This window comes from Homo sapiens, chromosome 7 (genome assembly GCF_000001405.40).
Source record: "Homo sapiens chromosome 7, GRCh38.p14 Primary Assembly".
NCBI lineage: Eukaryota > Metazoa > Chordata > Mammalia > Primates > Hominidae > Homo > Homo sapiens.
In genome coordinates, this window is record NC_000007.14 from 49,965,400 (window position 1) to 49,989,935 (window position 24,536).

Sequence of the window (24,536 nt, forward strand, 5' to 3'; positions counted from 1 at the left end):
ATTCTATATCCACCAAACAAAATAATTCAACAATTAAGGTAAAAGAAGACATTTAGATATATTAAAAAATGAAATACTCTTCAATAGCAGAGCTACACCAAAAGAAATATTAAATAAAGTCCTTCAGGCCATAGAAAAATTACTGCAAATGGAAATGGGTATACACCAAAAAATGAAGTCTACTGGAAATGGTAGTTACATGAGTAAATACATGAGAGTTTTTTTGGTGTTATTTCTATCCACCTAAAAGATAACTGACTGTTTAATAAGCATAATAATAGTGTAGTGCAGGATTTGTGACATTAGGTAAAACTAAAACGGATGTCTACAATAGCACAAAGGTCAGGAGTGGAGAAATAAAGCATACTATTTTAAGATGTTTACATTATATGTAAAGAGGTACAATATTACTTGAAGGTGGACTAAGATAAATTAATAATATATACTATAAACCTAAAGCAACTACCAAAATAAAAACACAAATTCTACCTAATAGGTCAAGTCAGATAAATGGAGTCATAAACAACTGAGACATACCATGATAACAATAATGAAAAGAAAGCTGCAGTGACAATATTAAGATTAGACAAAGTACATTTCAGAGGAAAACCTATTACAAAAAATAAAGGACATTTCAAAATGATAAAGGAGTGGATTTAACCAGGAGCATATAACAATCTTAACCATTTATATACTTAATAACAGAACTTAAAAATACTTGAAACAGACACTGATAAAACCTCAAAGAGAAACAGACACTTCCATAATTTTAGTCAGAAACATAAATACCCCTCTTTAAATAATTGGCAAAATAAGTAGACATAAAATCAGTAAAGGACATAAAAGATTTAAGTAAAATTAACAATAAAACTGACCTAATCTATATTTGCTGAACTCTCCTCCCATTCTCTATCTCTGTCTCTCACTCTCTCTCAGTATCAATATATGTGTCTCCATATATAGACATGACATATGAGGGAAAAATATATATTCTTTTGAAGTACAAATGGAACATTTACCAAAATATATATACCATACACCAGGCCATAAAACATTTTTCAATAAATTAAAAGTGTTTAGGCATGCAAAGTACATACTCTAATAGCTAAATTAAATTAGGTTTCCATAAAACAGAAATCTCGGGAAATCCCCCAAAAATCTGGAAATTAAATGCCACTCTTCTAAACAACCAAATGCTCAAAGAAAAAATTAAGTGAAATTATTAAGCATTTTGAGTTGAATGAAAATGAAAATACAACATGTTGAATGTTGTGAGGTCCAACGAAAGCAATGCTAGACAGAATTTTTTACCCAAAAGACACAAACAATCAAAACTTTTCTAAGAAATAAACAACTTTTGCTGCAGAGATTAGTTTTGTGATTCACAGATCTAGTCAAACATCCAAGAAGCCCACAATAGAAATGGGGTTATGTGGGAAAGTTCTTTGTAGGATCCCCCATCTAATGGTGTAAATTCCCATGGCATACACAGGAGACCCACAAGATTTTTCAGAATGCTTTATCAATGTCTACTTAGACAAACGGGGACAGAGGAAGGATAAAATGAAAGAGGACTGATAGATTTCCAAAATTCTACAAGCAGAAAATGGACTAAAAGAGCTACTTGGCCTCAAGCTTGTGCTCTTCTTCAAGAAAAAGAAAAACATGACTCTGATGGAAGAGCAATGAGCCCAGGGCTGATCCAGCCATAGTAATACTTCCAGAGGTAGGGAAGAATGGAGCTCTCATGAGCCCAGAGGGCAGAGCTTCTCCAGGTCCAGTGGGCAGAGAATAAAGCCACAGATGATTATTCTCAAGCCTTAAAATCTAATGATTTCTGTGTTTCAAAGTTCCTTGGGATAACTGACCCCTTTCTTTCTTCTAATTTCTTCCTTTTGGAATAAGAATATCAATCTTATGCATATCCCAATCTTTTAATTTGGAAGCAGGTACCTTGTTTTCTAGGATCATATATCCATAGATGGAGAAGAACTTTGCACCAAAATGCATCGTACCTAGAGTCTCATCCATACAAGACTGACATGACCTAGATAATGATAATTTGGGACTTTCTCGGGTGATAATATTTAGGTAAGCTTTTAGAGTTAATGCTGCAATGGGATGAGATTTATTTTATTTTATTTTATTTTATATTTTATTTATTGAGATGAAGTTTCGCTCTTGTTGCCTAGGCTGAAGGGCAATGGTGTGATCTTGGCTCACTGCAACCTCCGCCTCCCGGGTTCAAGCAGTTCTCCTGCCTCTACCTCCTGACTAGCTGGGATTACAGGCATGTGCCACCACGCATGGCTAATTTTGTATTTTTAGTAGAGATGGGGTTTCTCCATGTTGGTCAGGCTGGTCTTGAACTCCTGACCTCAGGTGATCTGCCCGCCTTGGCCTCCCAAAGGCATGAGCCACGGTGCCTGGCTGGGATGAGATTTTTGAATATCTGGCACAGTGTGAGTATATTTTGCAAGTGGATGGGCAGGAATTTTTGAGAGCCACAACCACAAGGCAGGTTGTGCTGGGTTGAATTGTCTCCCTGAAAAATGTATGTTCAAATACTAACTCCTGGTACTTGTGTAACCAAAACAGTATACTATAATATACTTAAATATAAGTATGAAAAGATAAAATATTTAATAGAGTATTTTTTCTAATGACAGCAGATTAATTTAGAACTAATTTTTTAAAAAAACATATTGGGAAAATCACCAAATGTTCAGAATTATAACACATTTCTATATAATTCTTAAGTAAAAGAACTAAAAAAAGAAATCAGGAAATACTCCAAATTCAGTAATGTGTGTGATCTCTAGACTAAAAGCCATTATATTTAAAATATTTTTCCTGAAATTTAAACAGATATAAATAAAAGGACAGATATATTAGGTTCATGGATTCTAAGAAACAATATTATAACAATGCAAATTTTCCAAAATTAATCTATATATTAAACTCCACTCAAATCAAAGCACTGACATGTATTTTGTAAAAATTATGAGATGATTCCAAAATTTATCTAAAAATATAGCAACCTAGGAGAGCAAAAATTAAACTGAAGAAAAACAATAAAATTGGTAGATTTACATCAAAAGATATCAAGACATATGGAGCTGATTAACTAAATGTTAATTAACATATAATCTTAAACTAGATCTCTCATAAATTACTGACGTAAGTACAATCATGCAAGCACATGAAAAATTGTGTAGCAATATCTACTAAAGCTAGTATAATATGCCAGGCCTATAACTTAGCCATTCCATTTATAGATATATATTCAAGGAAAATATTTCTTCTGAAAACATGAACAATAAGATGACTTGCAATTACACTCATAATATCACAGCTATTAGTAATTAATAGTAATTATTAATAATTACTGTTAATAATAGCACAAATAAATTCCAATCAACAACAGAATGGGTAAACTGACTCTAGTTAATAGCATACTACATATCAGGAGAAAATATTTATCGTCATATAAAACTATAAGAATGTATCTCATAGACATAGGATGAATAAAAGAGCTAGTCACAAAAGATGACATAATAATGTTATTCCATTTAAATGAAGTTCAAGAATAGGCAAATTAATTTATGGTGATTGATGTCACATTAATAATTACTTCTGGGCCAGGATGGGCTGTAAAGAGACCTGATGGAAAAATTACTGTAATAGTGAAAATTTTCCTTCTATTAATGTAAACTTGTGATTAGTGATCTATATTTATATATTTAGTATTTATACATATTTTTATACATACATATATAATACAATAAATAGAATATGATATATAGAAAATATACTATATAATATTTTTATAGCCAATATATATCTAAATGTTCTTGTAGTTGCCCACATAAGATCTATGTATCTTAAGTAGTAAGTTATAACATAACAAGTTTTCAATTATATACCTGAATGTAATGATCCATTAAATTTAAATTTAAGATGGAATTGACAATTAAGAGAAAATATAACAAAACTGACACAAAATATACAATCTTAATGATATCATAACCAATATAAAGAGAAGATTATTTCTTCAAATTAATCTTCCAAAAAAGAAAACCTATCTCAGATAACTTCAATAGTATGGTCAAAAAAAAAAAAACACATAAGAATGAAATTATTCCAATTCATGCAGAAGAGAAAAAAGAAAGATAAACCACACGTCAATTTAAGGTGGCTGGCATAAAGTTGTGTCAAAACCTGATTAGAAAAGTATGAGAAAAGAAGGTTTCAGCCAATCTCTCATAAACACAGAAAAAGGACTTTCTACAAAAATGTTAGCAAACAGCACTGTATAAAAATGAAAATATATGAGAATCTAGTTGGGTTTATTTCAGAGATGCAAATTTGGTTTAAGAGTAAAAAAGTTTATGTTAATAAATGTATATATATATATATAGAGAGAGAGAGAGAGAGAGAGAGAGAAAGAGAAAGAGAGAGAGAGACAGAGACAGAGACAATGACAGTTTCTCTCTGTCACCCAGGCTGGAATGCAGCGGCACAATCTCAGCTTACTGAAACTTCTGCCACCCGGGTTCAAGTGATTCTCATGTCTCGGCTTCCCTAGTAGCTGGGATTACAGGCATGCACCACCACTCCCAGCTAATTTTTTGTATCTTTAGTAGAGACGGTGTTTAGCCATGTTGGCCAGACTGATCTCGAACTCCCGACCTCAAGTGATCCACCCACCTCAGCCTCCCAAAGTTCTGGGATAACAGGTGTTAGCTACATGTCTGGCCTATGTTAATAAACTAAGAAAGAAAAATCAAATAATGATCTCAATAGATGTACAGAAAAACAAACTCAGTCTCAGCAGTTCTTAAAATACTCAAACAGAGAATCAAAATATATGAAGGGAACACTGACAGAATTACTGGGAGATAGAGAGTTCTACAGTAACAGTTGGAGATTTCAGTACCCCAATTTCAATAATGAATGAACATTCAGAAAAAAGATCAATAGGAAAATAAAGGACTTAAAAAACACTATAAACCAATCAGACCTAAGAGTATTATACAGAACCCTCCACACAACAGCTGAATATACTTTTTTTTTTTTTTTTTTTTTTTTTTTTTTTTTTTTTTTTTTTTTTTTGTCAAGGGCACATGAAACAATCTTCAGGATAGATCATGTGCTTAATCACAAAAAAGTTTAAATAAATTTAAAATACTGAAATCATACAAAGTGTATTTTCCAGTCAGAGCAGAATAAAGCTAGAAATCAATCATTTAAAGAACACTGAAAATCACAATATGTGGACATTAAACAATACAATCAAACATTCAAAGGGTCAGTATAGAAAACATAAAAGCAGCCAGGTGCAGTGGCTCACACCTGTAATTCCAGCATTTTGGGAAGCCTAGGTGGGTAGATGACTTAAGCCTAGGAGTTTGAGACTGGCCTGGGCAATATAGTGAGATCCAGTCTCTACAAAATAATAAATAAATAAATAAATAAATAAATAAATAAATAAATAAGCCAGGCATGGTGGTGCATGCCTGTAGTTCCAGCTACTCAGGGGGCTGAGGTGAGAGGATCACTTGAGCCCAGGGGGTTGAGGATTCAGTGAGCCACGATTGTGTCACTGTAGTCCAGCCTCACTGACAAGGCAAGACCCCATATCAATAAAAAAATTTGAAAACCCACAAAAGAAACAGATAATACCTTGAGACAAGTGAAAATGCAAACACAACATACAAAGACTTATGCCATCCAGCAAAAGCAGTGGTAAGAGGGATATTTAGAGCTGGAAACACATATATGAAACATGAGAAAAGACTGCTAATCAGTAAACCGATTTACACCTTAAGGAACCAGGAAAAGGAGAGGAAACTGAACACAGAATCACCATAATGAGGGAAATAAATTAGGAAATAGAAAAATAATTTAAAAGAAACAAAGGTTGGTTCTTTGAGAAGATCAAAAAAGGGAACAAACTTTAGCTAAATTGACTAAAAATGAAAGAGAGGACCCAAATTACTAAAAATCATAATTTAAAAGTGAGGATATTACTATTGATTTTATACAAACAGAAAGAAAGATAACAAAATACTATGAACAACTGTATGCCAACAAATTGGATAACTTAGATGATACTAAAAACTTTATAGAAATATATACTCTATAAAAAATGACTCAAAAGAAACAGAAAATGTGAACAGATTTATAACTAGTACAGCAATTGAATCAGTAATCAAAAACTTTCTTATAAAGAAGAGCCCAGCAAGATGGTTTCACTAGTAATTTCAAACAAACATTTAAAGAAGTAACACAAATCCTTTACAAACAATCTGAATGTTTGCAGAGGAAGGAACTTCCTAACTCATTCTATGAGGCCAATATGATCATGACACCCAAGCCAGGAAAAGACATTACAAGAAAACTACAGACCAATATCCCTTATTATTACTGATCCAAAATTCAATAAAATATTAGAAAACAAAATTCAATAACATACTAAAGGACTATATACAATGACCAAGAAGGTGTTATTTTCAGAATGTATGAATGGTTTAACATGAAAAAAAATCAATGTAATACACTACGTTAGCAGAATGAAAAGGAAAAAAACTACAAGCTCATGTCAATTGATGCAGAAAAACCACTTGTCCAATGTCAACCCCTTTTTTCTGATAAAAATATTCAACAAAGTATGAATAGAATAATACTCTCTCATCATGGTAAAGACTTTATATGAAAAATTCACAGCTAACATCACATTCAATTATGAAATGATGAAAGCATTTCCCCTAAGATTAATAACAGGGCAAGGGTGTCTACTATCCTCACTTATATTTAACATAATATTGAAAGTTCTAGCCAGAGAAATTGGGCAAGAAAAATAAATAAAAGACATCCATCTGGAAAGGAAGCAAAATTATCTGTTCACAGATGACATTATCTTTTTTGTATAAATCCTCAAGATTCTAAAAAAAGCAAAATCTTTTATATCTAATACATATTCAGTAAAGGTGCAACATACAAAATCAACTTGCAACAACAGCTGCATTTCTGTACATTAGCAATGAATAATCCAATGGAATTTAAGAAAACTCCATTTACAGTAACATTAAAAAGAATACAAGGCTTAGGAATAAATGTATGCAAGGAGGCAAAAGGCTTGTACACTGAAATCTATAACATACTGCTGAAACAAATTAACTCATAAATAACTGGAAAGGCATTCTGTGGTCATGGATTGGTAGACTTAATATTATTAAGATGGCAATACTACCCAAAGCAATCTACAGATTCAGTATTGTCCCTATCAAAATGTCAAGCATATTTTTGCAAAAAATAGGAAACCTCATCCTAAAATTCACATGGAATCTCAACGTACCACAAATAGAACAATCTTAGAAAAGAAAAAAGTTGAAGAATCCACATTTCCTGATGTCTAAACGTATTACAAAGCTACAGTAATAAAAACAGTGTGATAATGGCATAAAGGCAGACATACAGACCAATGGAACAGAATAGAGGGCCCAGAAAAAAAAAACCACTTGTATAAATTGTCAACTGATTTTGACAAGGAAGCTGAGACTATTCCATGGGTAAAAGATTGTCTTTTCAACAAATGGTGCTGTCAAAACTGGATATCCACATGCAAATGAATGAAGTTGGACCCTTAACTTACACAGCAAACAAGTAATTTAAACTAAGTAACACACCTAAGCTAAAACTTTAAAACTCTTAGAAAGCCTAATGACACTGGGGGAAAGTCTGATGACACTGAATTTGGCAACTACTCCTTGGATATGGTAACAAAACCATAGACAACAAAAGAAAAAATCTGGACTTAACTCCAATTGGACAAATTCAGTGTCATCAGACTTTCCCCCAGAAAAGTCTGATGACACTGAATTTGGCAATTACTGCTTGGATATGGTAACAAAACCATAGGCAACAAAAGAAAAAAAAATGGACTTAACAAAAATTTATAGCTTTGTGCACTTAGGACATTATCAAGACAGTAAAAATACAACTCACAGAATGGGGAGAAATATTTGAAAAATCACACATCTGATAAGCTATTAATGTCTAGAATATATAAAGAACTCCTAAAACTCAATAACAAAAAAGGCAACCTAATTTAAAATTGGACAAAAGACTTAAATAGACATTTCTCCAAAGAAGATATACAAATGGCCAATAAACACATGAAAAGATGCTCAATATCAATTAGTCATTAGAGAAATGCAAATCAAGTCCACAATGAGGAACACTTCACATTCACTAAGACGGCTAGTGTAAAAAACAAACAAGTAAGTGTTGGTTTGGAAATGGAGAAACTGGAAGGCTTGTATATTGCTGGTGGTAATATAAAATGGTGCAGCTGTTGTGGAAAAGTTTGACCTCTCATAGAATGACCATATGATTCAGTAATTCCACTCCTAGGTATATATGCAAATATTTGAAAGTTGGGATTCATATAATTGTATACTAATGCTAATAAAAGCATCCTTCATGATTGCCAACAGATAGAAACAACCCAAATACCCATTAATAAATGAACAGGTATATGTAGTAGATATTATTCTACCTTAAGGAATTTAGTTCTCATACAGGCTACCACATGAATGAACCTTAAAAATATTTTAACTAAAATAAGCCAGACACAAAAAGACAGATACTGTATGATTACACTTGTATAAGGTACCAAAAGTAGACAAATTCATAGAGACCGAAAATAGAATGAAGAATACTGGGAGATGAAGGGAAGGGCTAATGGAGTTATTGTTTAATTAATACAATTTTTGATAGTCATACAAAAAAGATCCTAAATGGATAGTGGTGATGATTGCACAATATTGTGAATGTACTTACCACTACTGAATTTTACACTTAAAAATGGTTAAAACTGTATATTTTATGCCATGCATAATTTACCAATAAAAAAAAAGTAGAGCTTCTGGGAGACATGGTTAATGAGAAAGTTTGGGCAGGATAATTAAAAGGCAGGCCTGGAACATGTTATGATGCCATAAAGTGAGAAACTGCTCAAAAAATAATGAGGGTATATTGCATGAGTACAAATTTTACTTTACAGAAACTATAATGGTGAAATTTTGGATAACGAACAACATAATAATGATGGCAATGAAAAATAACTAAAGGAATACAATATTCATAAATCCATAATGGCAAAAAAACCAATAAGTTGGAAGAGAATATAACTCTCCCTTAGAGTAGAATTATAATCAATAAATATAGAATAATGAATACAGAAACTGCCATTAGGCAAACAACACAGAAACAATTGTCACATGCAGGAATTATCACTGGATGCTAAAGTTAGTTCATCATCTGATGTTGAACTTTGTCCATACATTTGGCAAATGTCTGATGAATACGCACGTTTCTGTAGTCTCAAACTACTTTCTAACAAGACTTTAAGACAAAGGAATAAAATAGCACCAGATCTGATGGGGGTCAGGGAGCAGTTCTCAGGTCCCTAGAGAAATGCCCCATTGAGGAGTGGAAGAACTGCTGCCATGCCAAAGACCCAGCACGGGGAAATGGAGTGACTGGCTCCACAGCCTAGTGAGCAGTTGTGGGACCCACTTTGCTTTTATCCTCTAGACCCAGTGGCATTCCCTCCCATGCCCTGACATTGGCAGCAAGTGGGGACAATAAGTTAAGTCACAAGCAGTTTGCTTTCAGTCTGCGAAACTCAGACAAATAGCTTCCTGCTACAGTTCTGTGAAAGTGGCAGGGGTCAGGGGTGTCATACTCATCTGTCAGTTCTGGCTATGGGAGCTCCTACCCTCCTCAAGGCCAGAGTGCCAATCCCCAGTCTGAGATTCTCAAAAACAGTGACTGTCACTCGTGCTAACTGGCATGTTCCCAAGCAACTCACTAGGATCTAGGAAAAGGAATGGCCTCCTCTTTTGGTGCCCAGGTCCGGGAGCAAGTTTGGTACACTTCCCAGTGCTGTTCCTTCTCATAGTTTCCTGACTGCTCCCCAAGTCAGATTCAGGGTTTTGGAGGGTCAAGGAGCTCTTCTGTGGCCTGGATTGCCTGGCTACCCAGTGGGAATGGGTATCACAGAGACACTCACTCTCCCTCTCATGTACTGGGCTTTCACACAATTTTCCACTGGACCTCATCATGTGGGCTACTGCCCATCTTCTTTTCCCAGAAAACAAAGTTTTCTTTCACTTCTACATTGAACTCCCGTGTTCTTCCTTGGATAAAAATTCTCATTGTGAATCTCTATACACTATATTGCTATTTCCAAGTGGGTGAGGTGTGCTGGCAAAGCCTCTATTCTGCTATCATTTTTTGGCTTCCAGGATGTCCTGGCATCCTGCATACTAATCTAATTCCTTCAGTTAACAGGTCACAAATGCTTCATAAGAGTCACCTGGGGTCTCCAGTATCTCAGGAGAAGAGGCAGTAGAGATGGGACTCTGAGCCATGCATACTGAATTTAAATTGATCGTTTCAGTGAAATATTTTTTGTTCCAATTGTACTTTTTTGTCCCCTTTCCAACTTGGCTTCTTTTGGATAAATAAAGTGGAGTTTTGGGGTAACATTTTTTCTATCTACTAATTGTTATATACATATTATTTTACTATCTTTTAGTGGCTGTCCTAAAGAATACATCATGCATCTTAATCTACTATTACAATCTAATACAAATCATTACTTATACCAGTTCTAGACAATGGTTGAAACTGAAAACATTTTATTTACTCCCTCTTGCTTCTGGTGTTACCATGATCATATATATTTAGTTCTACATATTTTAAGCACATAAAGCATTATATATTTTTGCGTAGTCAATATTTATTTACATTTATCTCTATGTTTTTCTTTTCCATTGCCCCTTATGCCATCCTGCATGAACATGTTTCTGCCTGGGATCATTTTAAACTAACTGAAAAATTCCCTTTAGTCCTTTTTTGAGTGTAGATTTGCCTACAGCAATTCTCTCATATGTTATGTCTAATGGTGTTTTGATTTTCCATCATGTATGATGATATTTCCATCAGGTATAGCATTATAAGTTGACAACTGTTTGATTTCAGCACGTAAACATGTCATCCTATTGCCTTTTGGTATCTGTCATGCATTTCCACACACCCCCTTCTATCCATGATAGAAAGGAAGGGAGCTATGCTGCCTCTTGAATCCTTATGCCCTGACATTTTACCAATGTCTTTAATAGAATGAGTAATTTTAAAATTTTATTAGACTTTTCTAGTTTTTCCAGAAAGAGCTTTTGTCTGCTATAAGCTACTTCATCATGGCCGGGAGAAGCACTAATTTTTGTTTTTTAGATTTTGACCCACGAAGTCTTCATGATATTGTTAATTCTTCAACATATCTAAGACAGTTTCACTCAAGTAAGTTTTCCAAATTACATGGACTGCTTTTACTGAAAATAAACGTATCGGCCGGCGCAGTGGCTCACACTTGTAATCCCAGCACTCTGGGAGGCGGAGGCGGGCGGATCACGAGGTCAGGAGATTGAGACCATCCTGGCTAACACGGTGAAACCCCGTCCCTACTAAAAACACAAAAAATTACCCGGGCACGGTGGTGGGCGCCTGTAGTCCCAGCTGCTCGGGCGCCTGAGGCAGGAGAAGGGCGTGAACCCAGGAGACGGAGCTTGCAGTGAGCCGAGATCCCGCCACTGCACTCCAGCCTGGGCGACAGAGCAAGACTCCGTCTCTAAATAAATAAATAAATAAATAAATAAATAAATAGAAATGTATCTATTTAAGGAAAATCTGGGCATTCCACACTGCTAATCCATAGAATGACCTATCCATTGGCCATGATTTTTCAATTATTTAGTTTCTTCAGAAATATAATGATTCAAAATAAGAACAATGTCTTTGTGGGTCGAAAAGGCGGATGAGTTTTATTTCGTACTGATAATAGAACTATTTAAATACATGTAGTGAAAACGACGCAAAGGAAACTTTTTTTTGTCTCTGATCCTCTGATGTAAAATCAAAACAAGGGTTCAGGGATGCAAGTCTTTAGGATAAATTTATTGACTCTGAAATGCTTTATTTAAAAACATTTTTACCTACTAAACAATTTGCTTTTCCTGCATAAAGTACAAATGTACACTTTATTAATAAAACCATCTCAAGATGATTAAATATGCTAACCTGCAACCTAATCATTTCTGATCACAGACACAGATACCGTGTCATAAAGAAAGAACTCCCTGCTGGAATTTCCATGTGATTATCAAAAGGCTTGAATCAGCAATAGCTATTCTTTTTTTAAAAAAGAGAAAGCAATAGGAAAAAAAGTTGTCTAATTTATTATTGAGCTACACATTTAATCCATAATAATCAGTGGCAAACAGTCTGCTACCTCAGCAGAAGCACGGGCATCCTATCGAGGTAGTGCCTTATCAAAACTAATATTCTGACATTCTATGTGTTGCCTTATCAACATTAATACTCAGATATCTCAAACTCAGTGTATGTAAGAATCACCTAGGAAGCTTATAAATGTAGATGTCTGATTCCTAAACGTTGGATATGTTTTGAGAAAATCTTCAGGAAATTCTGATACACCTATGAGTTTTAAAACCACTGCCATAGTTTAAAGAGAAAAAAATAGGAAGGGATCTGGGGTATTATGTCAAAGAATGCTACTTGATCTACAAGTTTGTTTGTTTTTGGTTTTTTGTTTTTTTTTTTTTGAAAAACTAGCAGAAATAACATGGGAGAAAGTTGAATATATAAGCTATACAAAAATATAATAGAAATTGAAAAGTAAAGCATTTCAGAATCTGTGTTTTCACAAACTTCTTTTAAAAACAACGTAATATTAGGCTAGTCTTTGGTTGTAGTATATTATATAATTTATAAAATTATAAGACACTGATAATTCACACATTTAATAAGTCTCTCTTTAAAGTGCCAAAACTGATTAACAAAATGTTGTACATTATAAGGAATGGTAAATGTCAAATCACAGAGAAGCTTTTCAGTATAAATTAATTTAAAAGTACTAAATAAGTTAGGAAAAAGAAAAATAATATAGGTGGAAATGTTAAGTCTTCACTAATTTATAAGGAAACAAGCTTTCTCTTCCAGAAGGAAAAGAACAAATCTGGTGCTTATTTCACCTACTACGGAGAAAGTAAACAAACTTCCCTTATGTCATAAAATGCTTTGTCTCAATCTTGTTTGTTGAATATAAACATGGTATATCATTTTATTCTGGACAGAAGTTGTTTCATGAGATACCTCATATATTTTGTGAGCTCATCATCATTTTATCTAGTAGTCAGTTTCATACTTGAATGGATTTTAAATTCATTTACTATGTTAATTTTGTCTTTTAACTAGTGTTATCCTAATTTAAAATACAGGGTAATTTGTTAAATCATTTTCTATTCAGAGAATTATTTAAGTATCTTTTTGAGTAGTTATATGCTTTTCTAAAACGTTAGGGTGATAACCTCCTGTAAAATAAACAAAAATTATTATTATCCTATGGGGTCCTGAATGTTACATTAAGGGAACTGAATCTTGCTTAATAGCTTACAGGAATGATAACACAAAGATAATTATAAATTAAAATGTTTATTAACCATAAGATGGCACAAAATGAAATTTAGCAACTCACTAATTAATAAGTCTATTGAGCAATGATGATGAGCCCATAAAATCCAAAAAATAAATTTTATTTTATTTAAGCAAAATTCCCCCCCATAAACTTGATGCTCATTCATGCTATTGCTTGGATGGTACTTGCTATCCTGGTATCCTGCAAAGTAACTTCCTCAAGACTCAAACACAAGTCTCACCGAGAAAGCCGTATCACAATTACATTGAACCCTTGTGATCTATCCTATTGCAAACTCAATTTTCTTTATATAATCTTCTTGTATTTTTCCCTTAACAGTCTCTTGTTCCCTAATTGTTTCATGGATGCATCTCCTAAGTATATAAACTCCGTGGGCAGAGATCAAATATTCAGGAGCACAAAACAGTATTTTAGAGACAGAAAATATTTTTGAGATTCATGTTAAATTATCTCATATACTTCTTATGACAAGAATAAAAACAATTACCTTGATCAAATAGTGTAGTACATAATAAGTTGAGTGTAATCATTACATGGTGAAATTAGAAAACATTACAATTGTGTTGTTACCCAAAGTTTTTAAATACAAAAAAAATTTTTAATGATAAAATTATGTGTAATTCTGACATTCAAAACTACTACTTCACTTGAAAGAGCTATGTTTGACAATTTCAAAATACTTATAATTGAGGAGATGCAAATATTTTAACAATTTTAGTTTAAGTCTTCTTTGAATAATGATATAAATACATGTAATAGCTTAACTACTATGTTCCAGTTTATTTTTTGGGTATTTCTATGTTTTTCTTTATCCTTATCTGTGTTCTGGAGTTATACATATATATATATATATATATATAAAATATATATAATATAATATAATATATTATATATTACATATTATGTATATTACATATCTGTGTTCTGGATATATATCATATATTAGATAATATATAAATATATATTAATATATTTATATTATATATTATATATTAATATAATTTTATATTATATATTATATATATTATAATATAATTTTATATTATATTATAATATATATAATATAATTTTATATTATATTATAATATATATAATATAATTTTATATTATATATAATTATAATATAATTTTATATTATAATTATATATTATATTTATATTATAATTATATATTATATTATAATTTAATTAATAAAATTAAATTGTATTATGTTATATGTTATATAATATAAAATTATATAATATAAATATATAATATAAATATATAATACATATAATATAAATATATAATATATATAATATAAATATATAATATATATAATATAAATATATAATATATAACATATATTATATAATACATAATATAAAAATTAATTTTTCAGTCTTAAAAGAGTTTAAAAAATTTATACTAATATCACTAAATTTATACCTGTCTTAGTCTGTTTCATATTGCCATAAGAGGATATTTAAGCCTGGATAGTTTATAAAGGAAAAACGTTTATTTGTCTCACGATTCTGATGGCTGAAAAGTTTGAGACTGGGCATTCGGTGAGGGCCTCGGGCTGCTTCCACCCATGGCAGAAGGTGAAAGGCAGCCTGAGTGTGCAGAACTCAAATGGTGAGAGAGGAAGCCAGAGAGGGGGGCAGGTGCCAGCCTCTTTTGTATAGCCAGCTCTCACAGGAACTAACAGAATTAGAACTCGGTCACCCCGAGGGAGAATATTAATCTATTCATGAGAGATCTGCTCCCACGACCCGAACCTCTCCCACTACGCCTTACATCCCAACATTGCCACACTTGGAACTAAATTTAAACATGAGATTTTGTGGGAACAAACAAACCATAGCCAAATCATAGCAATATCATTCTCATTAAGTCATTTCTAATTGTTCTTTTCTCCTTTCTTTCTGCAATTTAAGTTAGATTAAAAGCCTTTTCATAAAATAGACTACTGACTATTCCTTTTACTTTGTTTTCTTTGATTTGGCTAGAGTTATCTTTATAACTTTTTGTGTTTTGTTATTTAAATATATGAACTTTCACAAAAATATAGTACAAAGTTATATTAGGAAATAGAATACAAATTAAACAAAGAAATAACTGCCAACTGTTAACTTTGTAACTATTTTTAAAATTGTGATTATATATATTTTATATATATAAAATCACTGGTTTTAAATATCAGTGATTATTTCTATCATATAATGTATGTTATATATAATGTAATATATATTTATATACAAATTGTAAATATTTATATATGTTATATATAATATAGATCAGATATAATATATATTATATAATATATATTATATATAATTATATATTATATAATATATATTATAATTATATATATTATATAATATATATTATATATAATTATATATATTATATATAATTATATATATTATATATAAAATATATATAATATATAATATAAAATATATATAATATATATTATGTACATATAATAATATATATAATTATATATAATATATATTATATATAATATAAATTATATATGGTATATTATATAATATATATTATAATTTTATATAATTATATAAATTATATATTATATAATTATATAAATTATATATTATATAATTATATAAATTATATAATTATATTATATTATATTATATTATATATTATATAATATCTTGATATAAAATATATATTATATATTATATATAATAATATATATAATTATATATAATATATTATATATAATATAAATTATATATGGTATATTATATATTATATATTATAATTTTACATAATTATATGAATTATATAGATTATATAATTATATGAATTATATAGATTATATAATTATATGAATTATATAGATTATATAATTATATGAATTATATAGATTATATAATTATATGAATTATATAGATTATATAATTATATGAATTATATAGATTATATAATTATATGAATTATATAGATTATATAATTATATGAATTATATAGATTATATAATTATATGAATTATATAGATTATATAATTATATGAATTATATAGATTATATAATTATATGAATTATATAGATTATATAATTATATGAATTATATAATTATATAATTATATGAATTATATAATTATATAATTATAAATATTTATATATTAATATAAATATTTATATAAAATATATAATATATAATATATATTATATATATATAATTTATTATTATATATATTTATTATATATATATATAATGTAATATATAATATATAATATAATTATATTATATATTTATATTATATATTATATATAATTTATAATTATACATAATATATATAATATATAATTATATAATATATAATTATATAATATATAATACATAATATATAATTATATATAATATATAATACATAATATATATAATCACTGATTTTAAAAAGTTACAAAGTTAACAGTTGGAAGTCATTTGTTTAATTTGTATTCTATTTCCTAATATTCCTGTGTACTATATTTTTGTGAAACTTCATATTTTTAAACAATAATGAAACACAAAAAAATTATAAAGATAACTGTAGCCAAGTCAAAGAAAACAAAGCAAAAGGAAGACCCTCACTGAATGCTCAATCTCAAACTTCTCAGCCATCAGAATCGTGAGACAAATAAACTTTTTTCCTTTATAAACTATCAAGGCTCAAGTATTCTCTTATGGCAATATGAAACAGACTAAGACAGGTATAAATTTAGTGATATTAGTATAAATTGTTAAAACTCTTTTAAGACTGAAAATTAATTGGCCCATTAATCTCTCAATAATAGAAATGCAAAGACTTTGAATTCATGTGCTCAATCTAAGTCAACAGCCTCTACAGAACTCTCTTCTATAGTAAAGATGAAAAAGAAAGAATGAATGTCAGAGAGCAGCTCAGATCCTGTAGTGCTAGGACCAAAAGTTAGAAAAAACAATTGGTAATAAAACAATTCATATACTTATTTCACAAGGAAGGAAAAAGTCACAAAGATATCTACTGTAGACTATACAAACCTAAACTCATCAATAGTAGATTCTAAAAGATATATTAATTGGCTTTTTTTAAAGTCAGGAACTCTAAGTGACTCATAACTATTATTTGTGTTTCCTCCCAGATAACTGCCTAATGATCCTAAACTCCCTTGCTGTAATATTAATACCAAGGCCAAAATTAAGCCAGACTGTTTTTCTTTCACATCTTTAGATTCACTTTTCAAATACACTACTTTAAATAAACTATGAAAAAATACCTAAATGATAGTAAAAATAAGTGATATGCATTCACTTAGGCTTAATGAAAACACATAAATTTTCAACAATATAAAACATGAAATCATAATTCATTACATACCACAGCACTCAGGACATTTTGGATGTTGCTGGACATTCATTCCATATCCTGGAAAGCAGCGATTAATCCAAACCATTTGGAGAGTACCTTCAATATAGTATATTTGAGGTAATTGTTCTGCACGTCTGCCAAGAATTTCTACTTGTTGATTAAAAAATCTCTCTATGAGATTTTTAGCCTAAAACATAAATACAATTTGATAAACTGTTAGCCATAAAAAATGTAATTTTAGAACAAATAAGGATGCATGTGGATTTAGAATTTAAAGAAAACAAAGTCTCAAGGTCATTATTTTTTCTTGCACTCACAGACTATAAATAAAACACACAAAACTGAAAAGATGTCATCTATAAACATCAAATATTTCTAAATGCACTTCCAATTACAATGCAAAGAAATCATTTGAAGATTTCTTTTTGGTCCCTTTGTATTTTGAATAATACAGGAATAAGTATATGAGCAAAATCAAGAAAGCTCTTTGAAATTGATTAAGAAATGTAATGTACTTTAAAATAATATATTATAAGCATCTGTAAGAAGCTTATCCTGAGGCACAACATCAACTCTTTTCACAAAGAAAAATTTAATTTAAAAACAAAAAAATATATAACTTCTAGCTCTGTTTCAAAAATTAAATCTAAAAAAATAAAGCATCATTCTGATCTATAATTATCTTTATGTTTGTAATAATTATACTGGCTTGCCTCCTAAAATTAACAAGAGCCTTAGACTTCTCTGACTGCTAAGATCTATGCATTCAAGTATGAGGTACGCATAAATTCAAACTGCTACAAGCTAGTTAGTTCTACTCATTCTGCCACACTAACTAGCACCTCCAATCTAGTCAGGAGCAGGGATAAATGGACCACACAGGCTGATCTATAACTACTAATGGTGCACCTCATGTCTACTGAGTTCTTCCAATATCTTGTAAATTACACCTCTTCCATTACAATTTCTATAATGTCCAGGTTCTCCCATGCAAAAACACCCACAAAGGGTGATAAAATAATAACTCTGTCTCACACATAAAGTAACTTAAAATATTGCATAAAATTATTTTCAGGTTATCTATATAAGGCAGTGGTTCATAACCTTTTTGGCACTAGGGAATGGTTTTATGGAAGACAGTTTTTTCACAGACCAGGGTGGTAGGATGTTTTTGGGATGAAACTGTTCTACTTTAGATAATCAGGCATTAAGATTCTCATAAGGAGCGTGCCACCTAGATCCCTTCCATGTGGAGTTCACAATAGGGTTTGTGATCCAATGAGAATCTAATGCTGTCACTGATCTGACAGGAAGCGGGGCTCAGGCAGTAACGTTCGCTTGCTGCTACTCTCCTTCTGCTGTGTGGCCTGTTTCCTATCAGGCCATGGACTGGTACTGGTCCGAGGCCTGGGGATTGGGGACCCCTAGTATAAGGTATATATGAAACATAAATAAATTTTCTATTTAGATTTGGGTTCCATCCCCATGATATCTCATTTTATATATATGCAAATACAGCAGGTCCTCAAATAATGTCCTTTCCTTCAATGTCATTTTGTTATAATGTTGAAGAGAAAAAAAATGCTTCCTAGCTAGGCCACTGTGCATGTGGAGTCTGCATGTTCTCCTCATGTCTGCATGAGTTTTCTCCAGGTACTCTGGTTTCCTCCCACATCTCAAAGATGCACGTTACATTAATTGGCATGGCTAAATTGTCCCCCTGGGAGTAAGTGTGGATGTGTGTGAGTGCACCCTGTGATGGAATGGTACCCTGTCCAGCGTTGGTTCCCACCTTGAGCGCTGAGCTACCTGAATAGGCTCCAGCCACCTGTGACACTGAACTGGAACAAGTAAATAATTATTATACTTTGTTTTTATTACTCTTTCTTAAATATATGTATTTCTCACATTTATTTCAATGTTTAATATTAAAAATGTTTTGGGTCTTTATTTCAAAATGTGGTGATATTTTTGCAACCAGAAATATGCCAGAGGAACTTAACTCTTGTTTATATCATTTAGCCTGTGGTAAAATTTATTTTGTGATATGTCATTTTGCTTAAAGTTGCAGTTTCCAGAAGCCTATTGATGAAATTAAGTGAAGATTTACTGTATTTCAAAATCTGAAAATATCTGAAATCTAAAATACTTCTGGTTCCAACCATTTCAGATAAAGGATACTCAAAATATGTGTTATGAAATTAATTGCATTTAAATTTGAGACTATAATTAAAAGTGTCAGGAGACACATTCCTAATCACTCAGATTACATCACACAGAGCCTAATTAGGCTTCCTAATACCCCATGCAAAAAAAAAAAAAAAAAAACCTAAATGAAGTTAGACCTGAGAAAACCTAGTGATAGATGCAGGAGGCAGATAAGGGAGGATCCCTGGAGAATCCCCAACCCGCCCCACAAGTGTTTACATCAGATGCTTTTGTGCAGATGTGGGAACCTGCCAAGGGTCTTGTCTGCACATGCTGGCAACAGACTGGGGGCCTGCCTGCACACTGGGAAAATGGGGTGCAGCCACTGGGGATTCATGCCTTAAGCAGTGAGAAGAGACCTGGCCCCTTCAGCTGGTGTGTGTGGTGACCTGGTATGCAATCTGTGAGTTGGGAGCCTGCTGGCAGAACCCCTTTTTTTTCACTGAGAGCGTTCTTTAATAAATTCTGCTCTCCTCAAACTTTCAATGTGTCCATGCACCTAATTTTTCCTGGTTGTGTGATAAGGACCTAGATTTTAGCTGAACTAAGGAGCAAAATATCTTGCATCATTTTGGTGGCCCATGTGGGGACATGAAGAAAGGTGAGTAAAATGCAGATCAAAGCATCTTTTCCCCTCTTGTATCTGAGCCTTTTTGTCCTTGGACTTCTGAGAGTAGAAGAAACTGTATCCCCCACCCTCCGTTGCTCCTGGGGGTCAGGAATGTCAACCTTGGTCTAACCCAGCCTTTTCTACAGCATTTTCCTTCTTTTTTTCAGGAGTGTAATGGCACCACCCCACCACAATGGCCGCAGGCACCCATGGGACTGAAAGGCAAGCAGCAGCACCCCATTCCCCCTTCCCTCCCAGCTGGGGCTGGGGCCCATGCCCAAAGGGTCCTGCGTGGCAGGCTGGCCAGCATTCCCTGCCACGTGTGTATCCACAGTGTCTTCCCCTCCCTTGGCCAAGAAGTCCAGCTCTGTTCCAGCCCCAGGGAAGAAACAGCAATTAAGTTTCCCTCCTTGTTGGAAGAACCATTCGCATAAGAATAAGAGGTTCTTCCCTCAGTTAACACAGCCCTGAACTTTAAGCTGTTTTTCTTTTTTTTTTCTCCACCAGGTCAAGAGTTAACTTTTATGCAAAAGGCTTTTTTCCTTTTAGAAGACATTTTACTAGGCCAGGACCCCAACTATCACTGTTTATATTCTCCATAAAGTTTTATTTATGAAAAAGGATTTGTGAGGCTGGTCTTAAGTTATAGCCAATCTGGAGTGGTTCACATGTCTTTACGGTTCTGTCAAAAAGAGGGGTATCTTAGGATGGGATATGGGCCCAGGACTCCATAGGCCCTCTATTAAAGACAGTCTGGTAAACTGGTCAGTGGCAAACTTCGCTGCAGGCCTTCATCTTGTTTTATGTCCTTGGAAGCATGACCTGTAAGCAGGTGGCAGTGCTTTTAGCCTCCAACATTTTACAGCGGCGGCCTGGGTTCAATCTTGGCTTAGGGAGTGAGTCCTTTCTGGTTTGATATCTGTGTGACCTTTGACATTTGTTGATTCTCTTCCCCTCCACGAACCACCTTGAATTTTCCTCTCTGAGCACCTGGGAGATTACCTTTGATAAAGTTTCAAAGCTACAAATATTGGTTGTTTGGCATGGATAAAGTCAGGTAATAAGGGATTTAAAAGGATTTTTTTAAAGAGCACTCAGCTTAATTCAAAGTGGATATCCAAGTTATAAGTATATTTAAAAGGCCTTTATGTTTTTCTCTTCCTAAACTTTATTTTCCTGGAAAAAGATTTTTTTCTCAGTCGACTAAACTATTTTTCTCCATTTTGCCTTGCCTATCTTAATGGGTGCATGAGAGGCCCCAAGATGATTTCTCATGGCCTGGGAATCCTTGGGAAAAACAGAAAAGGTGCCACAAATTCCATTTTGGGAGAGACCTCTGTTTTCCTAAAGGAGTCCTAGGAATTAGAGGTGGCTAGATCCCTCTCAAAATCTGTTTTTAATCTTCCAGCTATACCTGTTTATTAGGCCCTGGAAACTGCATGCTTTCCTAGCCTTGCTTTAAGCCTTTTTAGCCTTAGAGAGTTCCATCCAGAGGCCAATAATCCAATTAGGAGACTGGCAAACAGTCTAAATAGTTACTGGATCTTCTTCTGCCTTTCTGTGTAGTTATATATGTGTTGTGTGTGTGTGTGTGTGTGTGTGTGTGTGTGTGTGTGTGTGTGCAATGTCTATAAAAAAGAGCTCTAATTAACTGATTTGAAGGATAAGCACTTGGATCAAATATTTTTTAAAAGGAAAATAAAAGCTGTGGGACCTTTTAGTTCACGTGACATTAATTTTTGAAAAATAAAAACAGCCTTAAAGACTATTGGTAAAATGCAGATGTTGTCAAAATGTAAATTTTTACCTAGGGTTAAAGGACTGTTTTGAATTAGATAAGATAAAGCTAAAAGTTCAAACAAGTTGTGGAAGAATTGTAAAAATTAATCTTGCGAAAGAAATTTCATGTGTGAATACATTAAATTCAACAGAGTATTATATGGTTTTTCTGTAAATTAAGCATTAAAAGCATAACAAAATACTCTTAATGCACTAATCTGCTCTTTAGCTAAATCTGTAAAAGGTTATACAAGGTTTTTGCTTTTAAAAAAATTCTAAGTCATCATTTTAGAAAAATAAATAATATGGAAATTTGGAATTCTTTCATATCATCAAGTGTTTTAAGCCTCTAACATACTTAACAAGCCTCCTCAAATCAAACCTCAGTTTCAAAAATTGTCTTTCCTGACACCTAGCTTTTAGATGCTACAGAGGGCCCCTGGAGCATCTAGAAGAGTGGTAAACAAGATTATTTGACATGTTTAGGTACATGGGATTGCCAAAATGATGCTTAATCTTCTTTAGGTTATATTTTATGTAATAATGTTAATTTGTGTTCCAAAATTGTATGGGATTTCTAAAATTCTGAGTATATGCTATCAATCACAATTAAGGTTGTTATGCTAAGTTATTATAAACCACAGAGATAACCAAATTTCTTTGTTAGTCATGTTTCTAACTGTAACTACCATGGACATTCTATTATTCACAGATAATTGTTGTCTTATTTTAATCCTCTTCAAAGGATGGTCTATAATCAGCCACAAAACTCTGACAGGCAGTCTCAAATGCAGGTTTCTGAAAACTCTGGAGATTGTGACATTGGAATAAAGGAAAAACATACAGGACTCAGGAAGAGTTGAAATGTTCACAAATATCAAGCAAAACAAGAGTTAACTGAATGGACTGAATTAATAGAAAACTGAAGTAATGTTTTCAGTAATGACTTTTGATTGGAACATTGCTGATCTTTGTTTTGTTTTTCAGAGTCAAGGAAGCTTATTTTGAGCTATTTATGACCTTTAATAATTGAGTAAGTTATACTCCTATGAACAAAATTTGGAGCATATTTGTCTCTCTCTCTCTGTGCATGGCTTCTTCAGAATTTGGAAACTAGTTCTGAGTATTCTTAATTTATGCCGTTATAGTTGTTTGCATCAGTACAATAAGGATCCATTTTCTTTTGCAACAGGAATGCAATTGGAGAAATTGGTTGTTTTACCAAGGCTTTGACTGGAAGGGTATGCTTCCCTTTAAGGAATCAAGCTCGACTTGCAGATAAAGGTCCCATGGGAGAAACTGGCCTCATACCTTGTGTACACAGTCCCTGTACGGGGTTCCTAACCTGTGGAAAGTAAAGAATGTCAGTTTCTAACAGGCCCGGGAACCCCATGCTCTAGGGACCTCAAGAAGAGAGGAGTTTGCCCAACTCACAGGTTTGAGGGTACAAACCCATGGCTGGGCTTGGCTTTAGAAAGTCCTATCTGAGATTCCTTGTGGAACAGAGTTCCATCAAAGTGAATCCAAAAGGTCTATGTAAAAATAATTATTCTTGCTGCACTTTATGCAAATAATCAGGCCAAGTATAAGACTAAAGTCTATTTTGCAAACAAGTTAGTCCTATCATGATTTGTTTTTAACAAAAATGAGGACTAGAGAGAGAGAAATTCTGTTTCAAAACTTATCATACATTTGTCATCAAAATCTACATTCATTAGTTGCTTTTAAGTTTTTGCCTACATTTTAGAGTAACCCTGCTTATTCCTGTGAACCAACCAGTAATCTCTGACTGCAGACCAGAAGGAAAAAAGGGGTATGGGTAATGTAAAAATCTGGATCAATATTCTAGTTCTGAGCAATTATCCTGAAAATTCTGCCAGGTGATAGGAATAAATAGGGTGCCCATTACTCAGAGTTTTCCTTTTTAGGAAAGCAAGATCAAGGGAGCCAAACAAAGTCAAGACCCATCACCCAATCTTAGCAAGCATAACTATAGCTGCCAGTTT

General features: G+C 32.4%; 1 protein-coding gene across 11 annotated transcripts in view; it reads right to left on the reverse strand.

The window, feature by feature from the left end:
- The window catches only part of ZPBP (zona pellucida binding protein), a 252,593-nt gene that overhangs the window by 124,746 nt on the left and 103,311 nt on the right, over positions 1-24,536 (reverse strand). For 10 of the 11 annotated variants that reach the window (XR_001744543.2, XM_011515097.2, XM_011515100.3 and 7 more), the window contains one exon: positions 17,943-18,120. The exons of the other annotated variant lie outside the window; for it this stretch is intronic. Coding sequence is in view for 9 of the 10 variants with exons in the window: in XM_011515097.2 (XP_011513399.1) it covers positions 17,943-18,120 (178 nt within the window). In the remaining variant the exon portion in view is untranslated. The remainder of the gene's footprint in view (positions 1-17,942; positions 18,121-24,536) is intronic. 11 annotated transcript variants of the gene reach the window in all.